The sequence below is a fragment of the Homo sapiens genome, chromosome 3 (assembly GCF_000001405.40).
Source record: "Homo sapiens chromosome 3, GRCh38.p14 Primary Assembly".
In the NCBI taxonomy this organism is placed as follows: Eukaryota; Metazoa; Chordata; class Mammalia; order Primates; family Hominidae; genus Homo; species Homo sapiens.
In genome coordinates, this window is record NC_000003.12 from 138,084,070 (window position 1) to 138,105,267 (window position 21,198).

General features: G+C 43.6%; 1 protein-coding gene and 1 pseudogene across 17 annotated transcripts in view; both read right to left on the reverse strand.

Moving 5' to 3' along the window:
- DZIP1L (DAZ interacting zinc finger protein 1 like) overlaps positions 1 to 21,198 on the reverse strand; it is a 53,619-nt gene that overhangs the window by 22,080 nt on the left and 10,341 nt on the right. For 13 of the 17 annotated variants that reach the window (XR_007095645.1, XR_924113.3, NM_173543.3 and 10 more), the window contains 7 exons: positions 19,402 to 19,983; positions 13,694 to 13,778; positions 10,793 to 10,914; positions 8,314 to 8,475; positions 4,310 to 4,438; positions 2,892 to 2,954; positions 44 to 184 (listed from right to left, as the gene is read on the reverse strand). Coding sequence is in view for 15 of the 17 variants with exons in the window: in XM_005247198.4 (XP_005247255.1) it covers positions 44 to 184; positions 2,892 to 2,954; positions 4,310 to 4,438; positions 8,314 to 8,475; positions 10,793 to 10,914; positions 13,694 to 13,778; positions 19,402 to 19,983 (1,284 nt within the window). In the remaining 2 variants the exon portion in view is untranslated. Of the gene's footprint in view, positions 1 to 43; positions 185 to 2,891; positions 2,955 to 4,309; positions 4,439 to 4,574; positions 5,843 to 8,313; positions 8,476 to 10,792; positions 10,915 to 13,693; positions 13,779 to 19,401; positions 19,984 to 21,198 lie in introns of those variants that run through there. The other 4 variants (XM_047447642.1, XM_011512524.3, XM_047447646.1 and 1 more) reach the window with 2 other exon arrangements.
- KRT8P36 (keratin 8 pseudogene 36) lies at positions 17,167 to 18,924 on the reverse strand (annotated as a pseudogene).

Sequence of the window (21,198 nt, forward strand, 5' to 3'; positions counted from 1 at the left end):
CCCAGGGACACCAAGGCCTGGCTGAAAGGAAGGGCAGACCTACCATCTCCTCCTGGGAGGCAATGATCCTAGCTTGTTCCTGCAGCTGGGCACGGAGGGTGCTGATCTGGCACTGGGACTGGGCAGCTGCCTTCTTCTGATCCTGAGACAGGGAGGCCTGGAGCCTCTGGTTCTCCTCCTGTAGCTGGCAGGCACAAGATGGCTGGTCAGTCAAATGTCTGCAGGGACATCTTAGTGCCTGGTGTCTGCAGGCTCAGCACCTGTAGGCAAGTGCCAGGCAAGCACAGTAAAGGATTTTGAGACCTGGACAGGCTTTCTAACAAGACAACCTTCCAGTCTGGGGACATTTTTGTGCTGTGCCTGAGAAGAAGTAAGAATGGAATGCATGCCTTTAAGACCAGGAGAGAAAGGTGTAGCCACCCATTGAAGAACAGTCAGATAAATTAAAACCATTTGAAAATCATCAAATGGATGTTTTTAGGTGAAAACAAGAGGTGAAGAAAACAAGTTAACATGCTACTTCTGATGTAATAGCAGAAATAAAGTGAAAATATTTATTAATATTTGCATAAAGAAACTTTAGAAGAATACAAAAGAAAGCCATAAAAGTCACCTGAGCAGTAGGTGTTGGAGACAGGTAGATGGGGACAGGTGGGAGTGAGACTCTACTCAGTGTATCTTAATATATTTCTCCTGTTTTTGGAACAGGAAATGTGAATGTGAATGTGAATGTATTTCCCATTTGAAAATGCTTCAGTTTCAGCTTTCTACATATGGCTAGCCAGTTTTCCCAGCACCGTTTATTAAATAGGAAATCCTTTCCCCATTGCTTGTTTTTCTCAGGTTTGTCAAAGATCAGATAGTTGCAGATATGCGGCATTATTTCTGAGGGCTCTGTTCTGTTCCATTGATCTATATCTCTGTTTTGGTACCAGTACCAGTACCATGCTGTTTTGGTTACTGTAGCCTTGTAGTATAGTTTGAAGTCAGGTAGCGTGATGCCTCCACTTCCTTACACCTTATACAAAAATTAATTCAAGATGGATTAAAGTCTTAAACGTTAGACCTAAAACCATAAAAACCCTAGAAGAAAACCTAGACATTACCATTCAGGACATAGGCATGGGCAAGGACTTCATGTCTAAAACACCAAAAGCAATGGCAACAAAAGCCAAAATTGACAAATGGGATCTAATTAAACTCAAGAGCTTCTGCATAGCAAAAGAAACTACCATCAGAGTGAACAGGCAACCTACAAAATGGGAGAAAATTTTTGCAACCTACTCATCTGACAAAGGGCTAATATCTGGAATCTACAATGAACTCAAACAAATTTACAAGAAAAAAACAAACAACCCCATCAAAAAGTGGGCAAAGGATATGAACAGACACTTCTCAAAAGAAGACATTTATGCAACCAACAGACACATGAAAAAATGCTCAGCATCACTGGCCATCAGAGAAATGCAAATCAAAACCACAATGAGATACCATCTCACACCAGTTAGAATGGCGATCATTAAAAAGTCAGGAAACAACAGGTGCTGGAGAGGATGTGGAGAAATAGGAACACTTTTACACTGCTGGTGGGAATGTAAACTAGTTCAACCATTGTGAAAGTCAGTGTGGCGATTCCTCAGGGATCTAGAACTAGAAATACCATTTGACCCAGCCATCCCATTACTGGGTATATACCCAAAGGACTATAAATCATGCTGCTATAAAGACACACGCACACGTATGTTTATTGTGGCACTATTCACAATAGCAAAGACTTGGAACCAACCCAAATGTCCATCAATGATAGACTGGATTAAGAAAATGTGGCACATATACACCATGGAATACTATGCAGCCATAAAAAAGGATGAGTTCATGTCCTTTGTAGGGACATGGATGAAATTGGAAATCATCATTCTCAGTAAACTATCACAAGAACAAAAAACCAAACACCGCATGTTCTCACTCATAGTTGGGAATTGAACAATGAGAACACATGGACCCAGGAAGGGGAACATCACACTCTGGGGACTGTTGTGGGGTGGGGGGAGTGGGGAGGGATAGCATTAGGAGATATACCTAATGCTAAATGACAAGTTAATGGGTGCAGCACACCAGCATGGCACATGTATACATATGTAACTAACCTGCACATTGTGCACATGTACCCTAAAACTTAAAGTATAATAATAATAATTAAAAAAAAAAAAAAGAAAATGCTTCAGATAAAATAAAACCATCACATGTGAGTGATCATGCTTCCCTACACCAGAGTGAGGAGCTCTACCATGGACCAGACTGATCTAAGCCTTTTCATCTTCTGAGCTTTTTGCAGGCGGAACCTGGGGCTCTTATGAACCAGCTTCCTCCTCAACTTGCCTCCTGCTCAGGACATTTTTACAGAAGCTGTTTGCTCTGCCCTGAGGCCTGTTGCTCCCTGTTCACTGTTCTCAGTATCTAAGTCCTTCCCTTTGGACTCCTGCTGAACTATCACTGAGGCCCACAGCCGCCTGGTTCTCTCCTAGGGTGGGGGAATTTCAAAGAAGAGCCCAAACGTGAAACGACCAGGCGATTCATCTGAGGTTTATCGAACAACCCTCCCTGGAGGGCCTAAAGGGGTCACTGCAAAGAAGACCACAGAACAAAGGATGTGTTCGATTCAGAGGAGAAGGCCTGGAGGCCCCTGCTCCTGGACAGGGAAGCTGCTGGCTGGACAGCTCACCCCTTCTGTGTACTGATGGGGACAGTAGCCAGGAGCAATATCTGCAGCATCTGCCAACCAGTTCCAGGTGAGATAGGGGAGATGGTGGGTGAGGGGGCGTGGAGAATGCTGAATTCTGAGAGGAGGTCACAGGAAACCAAGCTCCCCGAGATCACCCAACAAAAGCTACCTCTTTCTTCTCAGCCATGTGCTCTTCATGCAGTTCCTTCACTTTTCTTTTCCACTCCGTTTTCTGAAAAAGATTAAAAGCTTATCAAATGGGCCCTTGCAGGTATTAAAACATGTTATAAAGCTACAGGAAGTTAAAAGTACTGGCTCATGGGTAGGCAGACAGAGTAGTGGAATAGAATAGAAAATCCAGACAAAGATGGAAATACATAGAAACTAAGTATGAGGAGAGGGAGATGGATTATTGACTAATGGTGTTGGAACAAATGGCTAGCTACCTGAAAAAAAATAGGAAGCTGGATCCTTATTACACATCTTAAAGCAAAATAAATTGTAGGTGGGTCAAAGATTTAACACAAAAAATAAGGCCAAAAAGTACTAAAAGAAAACACAGGAATGTTGTCTTTTTAAATCTCAGAGTGGGGAAGCCCATAAAGAAAATACGAATAATTGGATAATTTTGACTACATAAACATTAATTCTTTGTTATATGGCCAAACCATAATACACAAAATTGAAGGACCAACAGAATACTGGGGAAAATAACCACAACTAGAACAACAAAGGGCTGAGTTAATTTCCATACATTATACAAACTCACAAATTGATAGGGGAAACATCAATAATAGAAAAGCAGGCAAAGAATGTGAACAGAGTTCTCAGGAAAAGAATGGCCTCTTTATAATGTGAAACCTGTCAAACATCAATCGGCAGAAACACCTTACTGCTGATTGTTAGCTAGACTTTACATTTTTTCTCAAGAATCTTGGACAGCAGAAAGATAAGCACAACATGATTTAACACCTGTACCAACTACCCTTCTTTGCCATGGAATTATCAGTGATACAGACCATTTTATAACCAGACTGCAGTAAAATTCATCCAGGGGTGGCCAGAGCCACCTTCTACCAGCTGGTGAGAGCAGACTGTGCACAAGTCTTCCTGGCTCCATTCAGTGACCTCACATTGATAGCAGGAAATCGGCCATGCTGGGAGTATTTACACCACGGAAATTGGCAAATGCTACAAATTAAAGCTTTTTTAATTCCAGAGAGCTGGTTGCTAAACAACTACCATCACAACAATGGATGCATCCCAAATATCTTCAAACCCAAGAGACTGTCACAGTTTCTAAGAGTTGCTTCCAACTGGGTTAGAATCAGAATGGGGCAAAGGTGCCAAATAAGAGACAGAGTTGTATGTATTTTTTAAAAGATCTTAGGCAAATCTGACATTGCACACATACCACCAGCCTCACCTGAGAACCCTATTCTATGCTTTCATGTACTGGCAGAAGGTCTGAAAATATAGAACTTTGATGTCCTTCAACTTCTCTACATTCATAAATGAGAGAATATATTGGAAGAGAAGATGGCTCTTGGCTTCCTCTGGGAAGAAAGGCATGGAGCATCAGCTCACCTGAATTTCTGTCTTCTCTCTCAGGGCCTGAAGCTCCCGTGCCTGCCGAAGCCACTCCTCTGACTCCTCATCTCGCAGTGATCCCAGCTTGGACTCCATCACACTGTGGGACTGCAGTGCCCGCAGTTTCTGAAAAGGCCAGGGCATAGTTTTATTCAGATGAAGATCTCATCATGATGTTGTCTTTTATACCCAGAACAGTGTCAGAGGGGCACGCCTTACCCAACTCATCCTCCCAACTCATCCTCACTAGATACCTACTCACCTACAGATATTCACACAAATCAGCATTCCCTTCACAAGGGCTCTCCTGGGGGCTCAGCCCTTGCATAGAAAAAGCAATTCCATGGAAGAACAAATTAAAGAGTGTAGTTTCCATTTCACTTAAATTCTGCTATACTCAAAATCCCGAGCTCTCCTGACTGCTGCCCCATTTCTTCCTCAGTCTGGAATACACTGATGAGAATGAGACTCTTAGAGCCTATGGGAGGGTCTCACCCCAGGCCACTCCCTGAGGACTCCTGCCTCTCTCCCTACAAAACATCCTGGCTGTCTCCAGAAAGGGCTTTGCACAGCTTGAAGTAGAGTCATCAATACCTAGTGATTCCTGGGCTAGCAGTGTGTGTGACCTGAAGAAAAAGGTACAGAAAATTGGATCAAAGAGAGGATGCCTTTCCACCCACCTTTGATTATTTCTTATAATATATGACTGTCGTAGTAACAAAAGCAACATATTTCTATCTGTATGACTGTATAAAACTCATAAGCCCTATTAAGGCTTTAAGGATGTAACTCCAAGTGCCTAAGTTTAACTTGATATCATTCTTGCTAACACTTCTCAACTATTGCTAAACAATACTGGTTCCAAAGGTTAACAATTTCTAAACTCCCTGAATATTTTCAGAGTCAAATGCTTGATCAGATGTATGCACAACTCCCGGGTTCTAATGTGTCACTCCTGGTTTCCATATGCTGCTTATGACACACCACAGAGCTGACTTTCTTGGCATTACAAACCTTCGTGGTATTTCCATTTAGCTAGACACTCCCTTGGCATCTCAATTTACCCCAGGTCTAATCTAAAGTTCTCTCTTTAGTCAGGTAATGTAGCCAAAGTAAGCTCTCAGACTTCTGTATCAGGGAAAAAGTTTTGAGGAAAAAATATTTTCAATATACATATAGTTTTCATTGGCCTTCCTAACATCAGGAAGAATCATTTTTTGCATTTTGAAAATGGACATCTTACAGTGTTTTTTTTACAATCATTCTAAATGGAATCTTGCTGGTTTTTACCCTTAAAATTTTTTAAAAATACATTAACAAAATGACTACCCAACTGCACTGAGAATTTGGTATCCAGTTTGATTCCTATACTTTAATAAAAGTAAAACAATAAAATATTGAAAGGAGACAGGGTGAGACACACAAACATACAAACACAATATAAGTAATCCTATAGGGGAAAGGTTTTTAAAAAAGAGTAAGATGGGCCAAGCGCAGTGACTCAAGCCTGTAATCCCAGCACATTGGGAGGCTGGGGTGGACAGATCACTTGAGCCCAGGAGGCCAGCCTGGGTAACATGGCGAAACCCCATCTCTACAAAAAATACAAAAATTAGCTGGGTGTGGTGGCACATGCCTATAGTCACAGCTACTCAGGAGGCTGAAGGAGGATCACTTGAGCCTGGGAGGTCAAGGCTGCAGTGAACCGTGATTGTGCCACTGCACTCGAGCCTGGGCAACAGGGTGAGAACCCATCTTAAAAAAATAAATAAATAAATAAATAAATAAAATTAAAAATTAAAAAAAAGATAGCATGTTCCAGTTTAGGAGAACATGATCCAAGTTAAAAAGGATATCATGGATGGTAAGGATTATGTCCTCATTCACCAAAACTCATAATTTTCTGACCAAAAGTAACCCTTTGACCCTTGAAGAGGTGGTTTCTGAACAACAACTTCAAATTCCTGTCAATACCTATTTATCAAACGTCTAGTCAGCTAGCACTGCGTCGGGGAAGTGTGGGGGTCAGGAGATGTTTGCATGTGCTTGGGAAGGATGGGTGTGGAGCTGTATATTAGGAGCATGAGGTCAATAGTGGAGCAGCATCTTCTCTTCCACAATCATCCCTGGCCCAGCTGGGAAGCATTTTGGATGGAAGCGCTTGCGTCATTTTAGGGAGCCCCCATCCCCACCCCAGTGCACACAGAGTTCTCGTTTCAACCCCTCCACCTTCCACCTTTGGCTTTCCATCTCAGACAGGGATGATGGAGCACCCAAGACTCCAGGCATATGACAATTTCCTTTTGAAAAAAAATTTGCCTAGGTGCTTCTTTAGGTAAAACGTGGAATGACTGTGAAAAACGCTATTAGACAGTTCATTTTCAAAAACAAGATTCTCCTTGATCTAGGAGGACCAATGAGAGATAAATACATTTAAAAAATATTTTTCCTTGATACAGTTTTAGTCATGCAGGTTTATATGGGAAGATATGGTCAAGGGATAACTTTTTTTTTTTTTTTGAGAAGGAGTCTCACTCTGTCACCCAGGCAGGGGTGCAGTGGCGTGATCTCAGTTCACTGCAACCTCCACCTCCTGGGTTCAAGTGATTCTCCTACCTCAGCCTCCCAAGCAGCTGGGATTATAGGCACCTGCCACCACACCCAGCTAATTTTTGTATTTTCAGTACAGACAGGGTTTCGCCATGTTGGTCATGCTGAACCACCCACCTTGGCCTCCCAAAGTGCTGGGATTACAGGTGTGAGCCACTGCGCCCAGCCCAGGGATAACTTTAATAAGGTTATCCTGCATAAACTTGTTAGTATATCCAGTAGAAGAATAGGACCTTTGGAAATTATAGAGCTGGGTTCAAGTCCCAGCTCCATCTCTTCTTAGCTAAGTGACCTTGGGCAAGTTATATGGCCTCAATTTCTTTACCTATAAAGAAAGAATGACGGCCGGGCGCAGTGGCTCATGCCTGTAAATCCCAGCACTTTGGGAGGCTGAGGTGGGTGGATCACTTGAGGTCAGAAGTTCAAGACAAGCCTGATCAACATGGTGAAACCCCGTCTCTATGAAAAATACAAAAATTAGCCAGGAACGGTGGCACACGCCTGTAATCCCAGTTACTCCGGAGGCTGAGGCACGAGAATCACTTGAACCCAGGAGACGGAAGTTGCGGTGAGCCGACACCACGCCACTGCACTCCAGCCTGGGCGACACAGCGAGACAGTGAGAGCAAGAAAGGAAGGTGGGGGGAGGGAGGGAGGGAGGAAGGAAGGAAGGGAGGGAGAGAGGGAGGGAGGAAGGAAGGAAGGAGAGGGAGAGAGAAAGAGAGAGAGAAAGAAATAAAATAGCTTTTTTAAAAAAAAACTTTAAAAAGAAAGTACTAAACCAGTGATGCACCTATTCTGAGAATGTTATGGTTGATTGCTATGAAGATTAAAAGTTAGTATATATAAAGTATACTGCATGGGGGCTGGAAAATAGTAAATACAGTCATAAATGTGTGACCTCTGAAGACCCCAACAGAATGTCTGGCATGTAACCAGTATTCAGGGAATATTTGTTGGGAGAAAAATGCATTCAATTAAATTTTGCCCCATTTCTTGTCCAGTGATGAAAGCCCTTCGCAAAAATAAGAATAATACCTGGAGATATTACTATATACCAGATACACTACTGATACATTACTACATGCTGGATAATGTTACATACTGTATATGTACTAATTTAACCCTCTCAGTAGCCTATCTTACAGAAATAAAACTGAGGCATGAGGAGGTTAACTCATTCAAGGTCTCACAGCCAGAATGTTGACACAGCAGTGATTCAACCCCAAGGCGTCTGAAATCTGGGCCTCTAATATCAGGCCTCTGATAACTGGCCTCACAGTGTTTTAGCTTCCAACAGCAGATGAAATAAAACCAGTACAAACTAAGAAATTTTGAGAATAAGCAGATTTCCAACAAAGAAACTTTAAAAAGCCTTTTATGTTGGGTACCTCTTCTAGTGTAGAGTTCTGCTTGGCGACATTTTTAAATTCATCCCAAAATAATTTTTTTAGTTTATCTATTTCCCCATAAAGTTTGGTCCACTCTTGCTCTTTCCATTTATCAAATTCTTTCTTAGCTTCTATTTCCCTCTGATGAATGAGCTCTGCTTCCTAAAAAGAAGAGCAAGAACAATATGATGATTAATTCCACATTACAGCAAATATTTACTAAGAACCTACTTAGGCCTCCTTGTCTATGCAAGTCACTATGGAGACCCAAAGAGCATTCATCCCACAGTTCCCATTGTTTGGACTTGGGAGGACCAGTCTAAGCCTACTAAGTCTGCTACTTCTAAGCATCTTCAGAAGTAGTAGATTCCTTCTCAAGAAACTACTTTATTTGCTCATCCATAAGAAGCAACTACTGAACCATTAGTTTTATCATGAGGTTGCAGCAATTCAGTCCCATCTTCAGGCTCCACTTCTAAGTCTAGTTCTCTTGCTATTTCCACCACATCTGCAGTGGCTTCCTCCACTGAAGTCTTGAATCCCTCAAAGTCATCCACGATGGCTAGAATCAATTTCATCCAAACTCCTGTTAATGTTAATATTTTGACCTCCTCCAAAGAATCACACATTTTCTTAATGGCATCCAGAATGGCAAATCCTTTCCAAAAGGTTTTCAATTTACTTTGCTCAGATCCATCAGAGGAATCACTATCTATGACAGCTATAACCTTACAAAATGTATTTCTTAAATAATAAAACTTGGAAGTCAAAATTACTCCTTGATACATGGGCTGCAGAATGGATATTGTGTTAACAGGCTTGAAAACAACACAAATCTCCTTGTACATCTCCACCAGAGCTTTTAGGTGACCAGGAACATTGTCAATGAGCAGTAATTATTTTGAAAAGAATCTTTTTTTTAGCAGTAGATCTCAACAGTGGGCTTAAAATATTCAGTAAACCATAGCTGTGCTGTCATCCGGACTTTCTTGTTCCATTTTTAGAGCACAGGTAGAGTAGAGCTAGCATAATTCTTAAGGGCCCTAGAATTTTCACAGTGGCAAATGAGCATTGGCTTCAACTTAAAGCCACCAGCTGTATTAGACCCTAAAAAGAGAATCATCCTGTTCTTTGAAAGTGTGAAGCCAGGCTATAAAAGTTCTAGATGGCTTATTCCTATAGAAGGTTGTTTTTTCTACACTGAAAATCTGTTTAGTACAGTCACCTTCATCAATTATCTTAGCTAGATCTCCAAGATAACTTGCTGCAGCTTCTACATTAGCACTTGCTGCTTCACATTGCACTTTCATTGTTATGGAGATGGCTTCTTTCCTTAAACCTATGAACCAATCTCTTTTAGCTTTCAACTGTTCTTCTGCAGCTTCTTCACTTCTCTCAGCCTTCATAGAAGTGAAGAGAGTTAGGTCCTTGCTTTGGATTAGGCTTTGGCTTAAGGGAATTTTGTGGCCGGTTTGATCTTCTATCCAGACCACTAAAACTTTCTCCATCTCAGTAATAAGGCTGTTTCACTTTCTTATCATTTGTGTGGTCAGTGGAGTAGTGCTTTGAATTTCCTTCAAATTTCCTTTGTATTCATAACTTGGCTGTTTGGCACAAGAGGCCTGCCTCTCAGCCCATCTCAGCTTTCGACATGCCTTCATCACTAAACTTAATCATTTCTACCTTTTGATTTAAAGTGAGAGATGTTTAAGTTTGCCATCTTATATGAATAGTTTGTGGCACCCCAAAACAATTACAATAGTAACATCAAAGATCATTGATCACAGATCACCATAACAGATATAATAATAATGAAAAAGTTTGAAATATTGTGAGAATTACCAAAATGTGATACATAGACATGAAGTGAGCACATACTGTTGGAAAATGATGCTGATAAACTTGCTCAACACAGGGTTGACACAAACCTTCAATGTGCAAACAATACAATGTCTGTGAAGCACACAAAACACACAAAAAAAGAAGTATGCCTGTATTTGTCACAATACCAACTATGCAGCTGGTGCTCAATAAATGCATGCTGAGGGGATGAATAATGAAGGGATGAGCAGGGCAACTTCATGTATTTTCATTCTACAAACATATACTGAGCATTGTCTCTGGGCTGGGTTCTGGAGCTTTCAGAATCAAACCCAGTCTTTGTCCACAAAAAGTTAACTAACAGCATTGTGTACGAAGCTAAAATTCAGGTTCAAATGCCCTCAGAGGGTGCTGACTAATGCAGGAAACTGCATCTCTCTGCTCTACTTTCGTCCACATAAGTCTGGCAAAAACAATTCAATTTTCCTTTCCAGGCTACCTAAAATCATTTGCCATGTCCAAGAAGGCACTATCCCAGCTCTGACTCCCAGCTCTGGGAAACTAGCTGGAATTTTTGCCCTGTGGGATTCATGTGCATCAAGGGTCTCCTGGGTAGTCCATGACCCAAGTCTCCCTGATGTTTTCTCTCCCTGCCCACCTGGAGCTGCCGCTGCCTCTCCGCCTCCCTCTGGGCTTCCAGCTCCCCTTGGGTCCACTTTAGCTTGGCCCGTAGCTCTTCTAACACCTCTTCCACTGGCTGTTCCTGTTTCTTCTGTTTTCCTGTGGGGTCCACGCAAAGACAGGTGACCAGTTTAAGTCCAAAAATCAAGGGAGTGTAGTTTCTCACCTTGTCAATCAGCCATACCTCGGTCTCAAACCAGCTTCGCTACTTAGTACGTTGACATTGGGCAAAGAACATAACCTCCCTGTCCCTCTGTTTCCCCAAACTGGAAAATAGAGATAACAATAGCACCTAACTCAGAGGGCTGCTGTGAGGATGAAATGTGAGAATGCAAAGTGCTTAGCATAGTGTCTGGCACGACAGCTCAAAAAATGTGAATTACTATTGTACTGTCACTTAAAATAAGTATTTTGACAGTACTGACACGTGGAAATAGAAATTTAAAATTACTATAGTAACAGAACAGAATATCAAATAGCATGTACACCAATTATCAATACAAAGAACATATCCATGTATCCTGACAGTAATCAGAGAGAATTTTAAAGTAATAAAAATCTGTAGTTTTAAGTTCACTTTTTTCAATAATGTAAGTGTATAGTTGTAAATTTCAGGCCGGGCGCAGTGGCTCATGCCTGTAATCCCAGCACTTTGGGAGGCCAAGGCAGGCTGATCACTAGGTCAGGAGTTCGAGACCAACCTGACCAACATGGTGAAACCCCGTCTCTACTAAAAATACAAAAAAAATTAGCCGGGTGTGGTGGCGGGTGCCTATAATCCCAGCTACTCAGGAGGCTGAGGCAAAAGAATCGCTTGAACCCAGGAGGCGGAGGTTGCAGTGAGCCGAGATCGCACGACTGCACTCCAGCCTGGGAGACAGAGCGAGACTCTGTCTCAATAAATAAATAAATAAATTTCAAATGGAAAAAAAAAGCAGCATGTATTATAAAGAACCAAAGCTCCTTTAAGTGTATAATTTAAATTGTTTAAGTGAACAAAAAGATTCAGAATGAATTATAAAAAACATCCTAACTAAACCACATACTGACGATAAAGCAAGAGTTAAGGGTCAAAAAAGAATACAATTATTCTTGAACATTTGTTACTTTTTAAAGCATATTTAGTGATTACTAGATAAATCATACTGTTATTAAAATTCTAAGCCTTTTCCTTGAAAAGAGATGTGGCGTTTCTCAGGTTGGACATTTTACAAACAAACAATTTTTAGTTGCAGTAGAAATTAATTTGGTTTAATAACATGATTTGAGGCGACTGTGGAATAGGAGAGCTGGGCATCTGGGAAGTCAGCTGCCTGTGAATAAAGAGGCCATGACCATTAATATAGCAAAAGTGATCTTAAGAACACATTTCTCTCTCCTTACAGCACTTTACGTTAAGGAAATAAGAGATATGCTCAAAGATCTACATGCAAGAATATCAATCATCATGTGATTTATAATAAATAAATGTTGGGGTAAGCCATATATTCAACAGGAGGAAATTGTGAAATAAATTATGATAGCCACTTAATGAAATACTATTCAGCCATTAAAAAATCACATTTTCAAAGATAATTTAATGACATTGGAAAATAAGACATATTCTTAAATGAAAATAAGCAATAGTCAAAGCGCACATTATATGATTATATATGTCTACGGAAAAACAATGACAGAGAATACACCAAAATATTAACTGCTGGTGATACCATCCATGGTTTTTATTTTCTCTTTTCTACTTTCCTATATTTAAATTTTCTATACCAGAGACATATTTTTATTCAAAAAAAATTTAAGGCATGGAAAATTTATTTTTCCTTAGCCTCCAATGCAGAACTAAAAAGAATTAGATATACACTAAATACATAGTTTTAGGTAAGTGGTACTTTTTTTTTATGAAAAGAGAATTTGAATGATGGAAAATAGGAGGAAAAGTTTTACTTAATGGCATTTTTACATCTATATTTTGTGTTTTAACAAATATTTCTTGTTGAACCTCAAAAAGTGAATATAGGTTGGGTGCAGTGGCTCATGCCTGTAATCTCAGCACTTTGGGAGACCAAAGCAGGCAGATCACTTGAGCCCAGGAATTTGAGACCAGACTGGCCAACACAGTGAGACCTCATCTCTATGAAAAATTTTTAAAATTAGCCAGGTATGGTGGTGCGTGCCTGCAGTCCCAGCTACTCAGGAGGCTGAGGTACGGGGATTGCTTGAGCCCAGGAGGTGGAGGCTGCAATGGAGCCGAGATCAAGCCACTGCACTCCACCCTGGGTGACAGAGTGAGACCCTGTCTCAAAAAAAAAAAAAGAAAAGAAAAGAAAAGTGAATGTAAAATATGCAAATCTCTTTATGGGGAAAACATACAGCCTTGCTCCTCATTTTGGAATCTGAAATTGTAAAATTAAAGTGATTAGATCATGATAAGCTCAAGTATGTAGAAAAGTCAAAGAACTGGTCTGACTGCCCATTCACCCCATTTAGGCTTATTCGTGGCTGGCATCAGGGAACTGCAGATTCGCAGAAGGCTGGAAGGTAAGAGCCCTTCAAAGTCACTCCATCTGACTGCCCCATTCACAGTGAAGGCCACTGAGACACAAAGGGGAAAGCATGGACCGGGGTTACATAATAAATAGCGACAGAGCTAAGAGTGAAATCTACCTGTCTGACTCCCAGCCCTTCTTTACACGTGGGGTCAGAAACCCTTCCAACCCATGTGGGCTCCCCCGGTGGTGGATGGTGGGATCATCCCATCCCCAATTGGACAGTGAGGTTCTGAGAGCAGTTTTGGGTGCTATAGGTGGTCACCACCCACTGAATACCAGCCCCAGCCCTTTCCACAGTCCCAGAAGGGGCCCGGGCTGCTGTCTGGACTCACCACCTTCTGCCACGCCTGCATGCCTGCGCTGGATGTGGCCCCGGAGAAAGGTGGCATTCATGAATGTCTTGTCACACAGGTGGCACTATACAGAGAGGAAGCAATGGGGAGTACAAGATTAGGTCACCTGAGTCAGCCTGGGATTTTCCCTATATCAAAGCCCCCATCCCCTTGGGACCCCTGGGCTGCTTCAGAAATAAAGAATTTAATTTACTGAGCAAGGCAATGATGTCAGCCCATGCTGCCCACTAGGATCACCGGAGCTTTAAAATACTACCAGTGTCCCGGGAAACTGTCAACACTGGATATTTGATGATACTAAGGAATTTCTGTTGCTTTTTCAGAGTGTGATGATGGTGTTTGTCTATGTTTAAAAGTCAGAGTCTTTCTCTTTTAGAGATACAAATAGAGACATTGAAATACTACAAATAAAATCATAATACTAATATGCTTCAAAATAATCCAGAAGTGAGGGAAAGTGGGCAGGGGAAGAGATGCAACAACACTGCCCATGGGTTGATACTGTTAGTGTGTAGATAAAGGTTCATTATATTATTCTCTCTACTATTGTACATGTTTGAAATTTTCCATAATAAAAAGTTTTTAAAATATGCCAATGTCTAGGTCCCATCCCAGGGTGGAGAAACACCAGAGGCAGAGAGGTTAGCAAATAAACAGCATCTGTAATTCCACATCCCTCTCCTAAGACATTTTAGACATAAGCAATCTATCACATCGTCTTCTCACTGTAAAATTTCAGAATTCTTCTCAACACAGCTTTGGAGGCTGCCATTGTTAGTTAATCCATAGGCAGATTATTTGCTATCTTTGCAGACAATTGTGACAGGAATTGCCAGTTGTCCCCCAATACCCATTTTCCCTTTCTTCCTTGGTAATAGTAAGTCTGTGGCCAATGAGAATAAACACTCTATGTCCCAACCTTCCTAGCAACCAGGTGTGTCCACAGGACTTACTACTAAAAGGGTTCTGACCCTTTTAATCATAAACATCATATCAATTATATCAATTTGTTATCAATTAATAATATATCATAACGATTCCTTCTGTCCCACTGTGATATTGTGATACAATAAGAATGTAGGCTGGGCACAGTGGCTCACACTTAAAATCCTAGAACTTTGGGAGGCTGAGGTGGGCGGATCACTTGAGCCCAGGAGTTCGAGACCAGCCCGGGCAACCTGGAGAAACCCTGTCTCTAAAAAAATTAGACAAACATGGTGGTAGGTGACTGTAGTCCTAACTACTCAGGAGGCTGAGGTGGGAGGATCACCTGAGCCTGGGAGGTTAAGGCTGTGGTGAGCCATGATCAGACTGCAGCCTGGATGACAGAGTGAGACCCTGTCTCAAAAAATAAAAAAGAATGTATATTTGGTCTTTGTTCCTTCCTAGTTTCTGGCAAGGAGGTCCTAAAACACTTACAACAAGCTGGTTCAACCTGCAGCCAATAGGCCACATGTGGCCCAGAACAGCTCTGAATGCAGTCCAACACAAATTTGTAAACTTACATTATGAGATTTTTTTAGGAATTTTTTTTTTTAGCTCATCAGCTATCATTAATGTTAGTGTATTTTATGTGTGGCCCAAAACAATTCTTCTTCTTCCAATGTGGCCCAAGGAAGCCAAAAGATTGGACACACCTAACTTACAATCTTCAGAGTGATAAGGGCAGTAAAGCACCTTTTGTAATAATATTTGGTCTTAGAGATTCTGAGATCCTTGGAATCTCCAGAGTAATAAGAGTGTCTACTATTGTTTGAATGTTTGTCCCTTCCAAATCTCATGTTGAAATTTAATCTCCAGTGTGGCAGTGTTGAGAGGTGGGGCCCAGTGGGAGGTATCTGGGTCATGGGGCAGATCCCTCATATATAGATTAATGCCCTCCCTTGGGGGTGAGGGAGTTCTCATTCTTATTAGTTTGACAGAGCTGGTTGTTAGAAAGAGCCTGGCATTCCTCTCCCCTTACTTCCTCTCTTGCAATGAGCTCTGGACAGGCCAGCTCCCCTTCACCTTCCACCAGGAGTGAAAGCAGCCAGAGGCCCTCATCAGGTGCCCAGTCTTGAACCTTCCAGCCAGCAGAACTGTGAGTCAAATAACCTCTTTTCTTTATAAATTATCCAGCTTCGGTATTCCTTTATTGCAACACTAAACTTACTAAGACAGTGTTTTTTGTATGCTAATGAAAGGACTGTTGGCTGGGCACCTTCTGCCCCACCCCGCAAATGACTTTCTGGTGACCAACCCCCATCCTTTTTTTTTTTTTGGCTCATCAGCTCTCATTACGATTAAGATGCCGGGCTCAGGTAATCCCCCCAGGATGGGGGTTGGTCACCAGAAAGACCAAGGCATGGGTAGAGGGTTGGAACTTTCAGCCCCACCCTCCAGCCTCCAGGGAGGGAAGAGGGGCTGGACTACTAAGCAATGGCCAATGATTTAATCAATTATGCATGCTTGGTGGAATCTTATAAAACCCCTAAATGATGGGATTTAGAGAATTTCCAGATTGGTAAACACTAAGGTGCTAGGAGATGTCACACTCAGAAAGGGCAGGGAAGTTCCGAGTCCCTTCTCCCATACCTTGTCCTCTCTTGTCCTCAAGTGCATCTCTTCCATTTGACTGTTCTGACTTCTATCCTTATAATAAACTAGTAATAAAGTGTCTTCTTCCTGAGTTCTGTGAGCCATTCTAGCAAATTATTGAACCTCAAGATGGAGTTATGGGAACCCTCAATTTGTAGCCAGTTAGTCAGAAGTACAGGAGGCCCAGGTATCTGAAGTGGGGCCAGTCTTGTGGGACTGATCCCTTAACTCATGGGATCTGATGCTAACTCCAGGTAGATAGTGTCAGAATTGAATTGAAGGGCACCCAGGTGGCATTGGAGAATTGGTTGGTGTGAGGAAGAAAAACACACATTTGGTGTCAGAAGTGTTATAAGCAGAAATAGGTAACCCATCCATCCGTAAACTATGAATGTCTTAAAAACCTGAACCAGCATGATTTGTGCCCACATCCTCAGAGCCTGGCACAGGGCCTAGCCACCATGACAATTTTTATTAAAGGGCAAATGTCCCTAATCCATACTTCCATGGAGACACATGCAAACGCTCCATGTTGCTTTGGGAAATGAACTGTCACTTGGTTGAATAATGGAGTCAGTATTCCAGAATAGGCCTGGCTCCACCAATCCCTTGTCACACGTAGATTCAACACATGCACACACAAACCCCTCACACACACCTTTACACAACACACTCCTCTACATACACATACAAATCCTCCATCATATATAAATATGCACGCACTCACACCCTCTATAAATACACCCTTAGACACATATACATCCTTCTTCTACATACTCATCCTTACATACACTCTCCATAAGTACAAACACACACTCTTACACACATATATACCCTTCATTCATTCACACACACACAAACACTATTTTTTTTTTTTGGCAGAGATAGCTGAGGTTTTATTTTGGACCAAAAAAAAAAAGCAATTGAATTGTTTTGTAGCTGGAGGCATGGGCAAGGGGGGTCCCTAGGCAGTAAACTCCCCCGCAGGTGGGTTGAGGGCTAGGGCTGAGCCTCAGGTGGGTCTCCCGTTCCCTGTGCTACCCTGCACAGCAGCCTCCCCCGCTGGGCTCTGGGGCAGCCGCAGGAGGGGCAGGCTGGGAGGGGCTGCCACAGCTGTTCACTTGGGCAGGACGTCAGAGGACTCGGACACCAGCTTCCCATCGCAAGTCTCTATCTTCTTCACAACCACAGTGGCCCTGGTGGAGCTGGTGCGGCTGAAGGAGCTGGAGCCTGCGCCAGAGCCAAAGCTGGAGCCCAGGCCGTAGCTGAGGCCAGGGCTTGTGAGGCCCCCATAGGCCGAGCTCAGACCACCTGCATAGCCGCTGGTGGTCTTTGTATGGATACTTGTGTTCTGCATCTCAGACTCCAGCCGGCTTTCCTTGCCCTCCAGCAGCTTCCTATAGGTGGCGATCTTGATGTCCAGGGCCAGCTTGACATTCATCAGCTCCTGATACTCACGCAGCTGCCGCTCCATGTCCTGCTTGGCCCGCTGCAGGGCGCCCTCCAGCTCGGACAGCTTGGCGTTGGCATCCTTAATGGCCAGCTCCCCACGTTGCTCGGCATCTGCGATGCCCTCTGGCCTTTGAGGCCCTCAATCTCAGCCTGGAGCCGGCTGATGTTCTGGTTCATCTCAGAGATCTCAGTCTTTGTATGCTGCAGGTCATCTCCATGCTTCCCAGCCAGCATCTGCAGCTCCTCATACTTGATCTGGTACATGCTCTCAGCCTCAGCCCAGCTGCAGTTGGCGATCTCCTTGTACTGTGCCTTGACCTCAGCGATGATGCTGTCCATGTCCAGGGAGTGACTGTTGTCCATGGACAGCACCACAGGCGTGTCCGAGATCTGGGACTGCAGCTCCCGGATCTCCTCTTCATACAGCTGCCTGAGGAAGTTGATCTCGTCAGTCAGCCCTTCCAGGCGAGACTCCAGCTCTACCTTATTCATGTAAGCTTCATCCACATCTTTCTCGATGAAGGCAAATTTATTCTCCATCTTTGTATGCTTATTGATCTCATCCTCATACTTGTTCTCGAAGTCCTCCACCCAGCCCCTGCATGTTGCCAAGCTCTGCCTTCAGCTTCAGCTTCTCCTGGCCCAGAGTCTCCAGCTGCTGCCTAAGGTTGTTGATGTAGCTCTGAACATGTTGTCCATGTTAACTCTGAGCCGTCTTCTGCTGCTGCAGGAGGCTCCAGTTGGTCTCCAGCATCTTGTTCTGCTGCTCCAGGAACCATACCTTGTCTATGAAGGAGGCAAACTTGTTGTTGAGGGTCTTGATCTGCTCCTTCTCCTGGGTGCACATGGCCTGAATGTTGGGGTCCACCTCCAGGTTAAGGGGGCTCAGCAGGCTCTGGTTGACAGTGATGGCAGTGATGCCTCCCATGCCACTGGCCCCACCATAGCCTCCGCCCAGGTCACCCCGGAAGCTGCTGCTGCCCACTCAGGAGAAGCTCAAGGAGCTGATGCCAGCACTGGGCCCACTCATGTAGAAGCAGCTGCTGAAGACCTGGGGGCCAGAGGTGGGCACCTTGTAGGACTTCTGGGTCACCCTGATGAACATGGTGGAAGCAGGAGTGGAGGCAGGTGGGCTGAACCAGGCGGAGATTCCAGAAGGAGCAGAGAAGCTGCTTCTTGGTCACTAACACTATTAATACACCTTTTTATACATGCTCCAGAGTTGTATCCTTTATAACATAGTACAAGCACACATTACACACCACACACCCTACATACACACAGAGGTACCCTTCAAGTATTCACACACACACACACACATTAAACACACACACATGTTCACATCATTTACAAACACACACACTCGCCATACATTCATGCATATACATACACTAGACATGTACCCTCTCCATAAACACGCACACCTCCCACACATGTACAATCTACACACACATACACACACACACACACTGTAGAACCTAATGAGACACCCCCAGGCTCTCTGGCCATGAGCAGCATCTCTGAAATCTGCTCCTAACCAGTGAGAACAGCCCCCCAGCAGCCTTAAGGTCCCAGCAGTGCTGCCCAGTGGCAACAGTTGCCCCAGTGGCTGGGGCACACAGCCCTCCCACTCTCCCTGCCTGGTGGAGATTCCTCACCGTGTGGTAGCTGTGGGTGCCTGTCTGCATTAGCAGCTGCTGCAGGGTGCTGATCATCTTGCGACGCCGGCGGCTCTCCTCCCGCACACCCTTGAGCTCGTCAGCCTGGCGTCCCAGCTCCTGCTGACCACGCTGCTGCTGGCCCAGGCTGGTCTGCAGCCGTGCCTCCAGCTGGGCAACACTGGCACTCAGGCAATCCTGGCAGTGCAGCAGGTACTCAATGATGAGCTGCGCCAGGCGCAGCACCTTGAGCAGTGCCGGGTCCACAGGCTGCCCACAGCGGCTGCACACCTCCCGGTCCAAGTTGCAGAAGGTGATGCCAGCAATATTCTCCTGCAGAGTGGCCACATCCAGTTCCCGGGCCACGCGGTCTACATCCAGGGTGCTAATGCGTCTCCAGTCCATGCTATCATGGCGAGGCTGAAACTTGAAGGTGGGGAACGTGTAGGCCCCAAAGAGGGGGCCACTGAGGCCCTCAGCAGTGGCAGCTGGGGACTGCATGGGCAGAGGAAGCCCTGAGCTGACCACCAGAGGAGGGGGGCACCAAGGCCACGGCAGTAGGCCAAGGAGCTGAGAGAAGGCCTGGAAAATAAGAAGAGAGTCCAAGTTAGGTGAGGTGTGTGTGGCTGCACCTACTGTATATCTGGCCAGCAAGGGCCTAAGCGGGGCAAAGTGAGGTGTCTGTGCAGCAGCTGTAGCATTCATGGTGTGTGCTGACATGGCCAGAGCTGTGGAAAGAAAACATGGGCTTTGCAATCACACAGATGTGGATTCGAATGCTCTGCCTTGGGCAAGTCCCTGCACATCTTTAAGCCTCCTGTGTCTAAGGAGGAACATGGGTCCCACTGTGCAGGCCTGTGGTGAGGAATGAGGCAAGTGAAGCACCCAGCCTAGTGCCTGGCACATAGCAGGTCCTCAGTGAGCCCCCTCTGCAAAGCCCACCTCCACTGCAGGAATGCCTGGCAAAGGCCTTTGTCAGCAGGTGACTATCAAATTTACAAATGGGTCCTTCTGCAACCCTATTTTTATCTCAAGATAAAGTCCGACAACTTGCTGTGAGTGACCAAGGTTCCTAATGTCCACCCTGTCTTCTCTTTCTCATATAACTACAGGATTCTAATGGAACACGAGTGAACTACCTTTCCCAGCTTCTCCAGCAATAACGTGTGATCATATGACTAAGTTCTCTCTCCTGGAATGTGAGTGAAATGATGTCCACCCCTGTCAGGAGGGGCTTAAGAGAGTTACGGAGTCTCTGCCACATGGTGCTCAATCCATCATGGGCTTTTTTTTAACTTAATAGTTAAGTAAAAAGATCTCTAGTTTCTTTGCCAAGACTCAGATTCTACTCTCTAAACTCTTGGTGAGCATATGAACTGTTCTCTCTGAAAAGTAATTTGACAATATCAATGGGAATTTTGAACATTCCACTACTAAAAATTATAATTATGCTACAAACTCATATGTACAAAGGTACTTGTGAAAAAATTGTCATTGTAGCATCTTTTATAAAAGCAAAGTAAAAGAAAAAGTAGAAGAAAGCAAAGTACAATGTATCTCTATGCAATGGAATATTATGCAGCTATTGATTGGTATAAAGCAGACTTACATGTACTGATATGAAATGATAATCTCCAATATATATATATGTAAACACACACAAAATAGGCATATATACCTCTATTTCTGTTTTAATGACATATTAATATAATCATATTTAATAACTCACCAAAGTGAAAGATATATATCATATTAGAATGGTTGTCTATGAGAGGAGGGAGGGAAATGGGAGTGTGG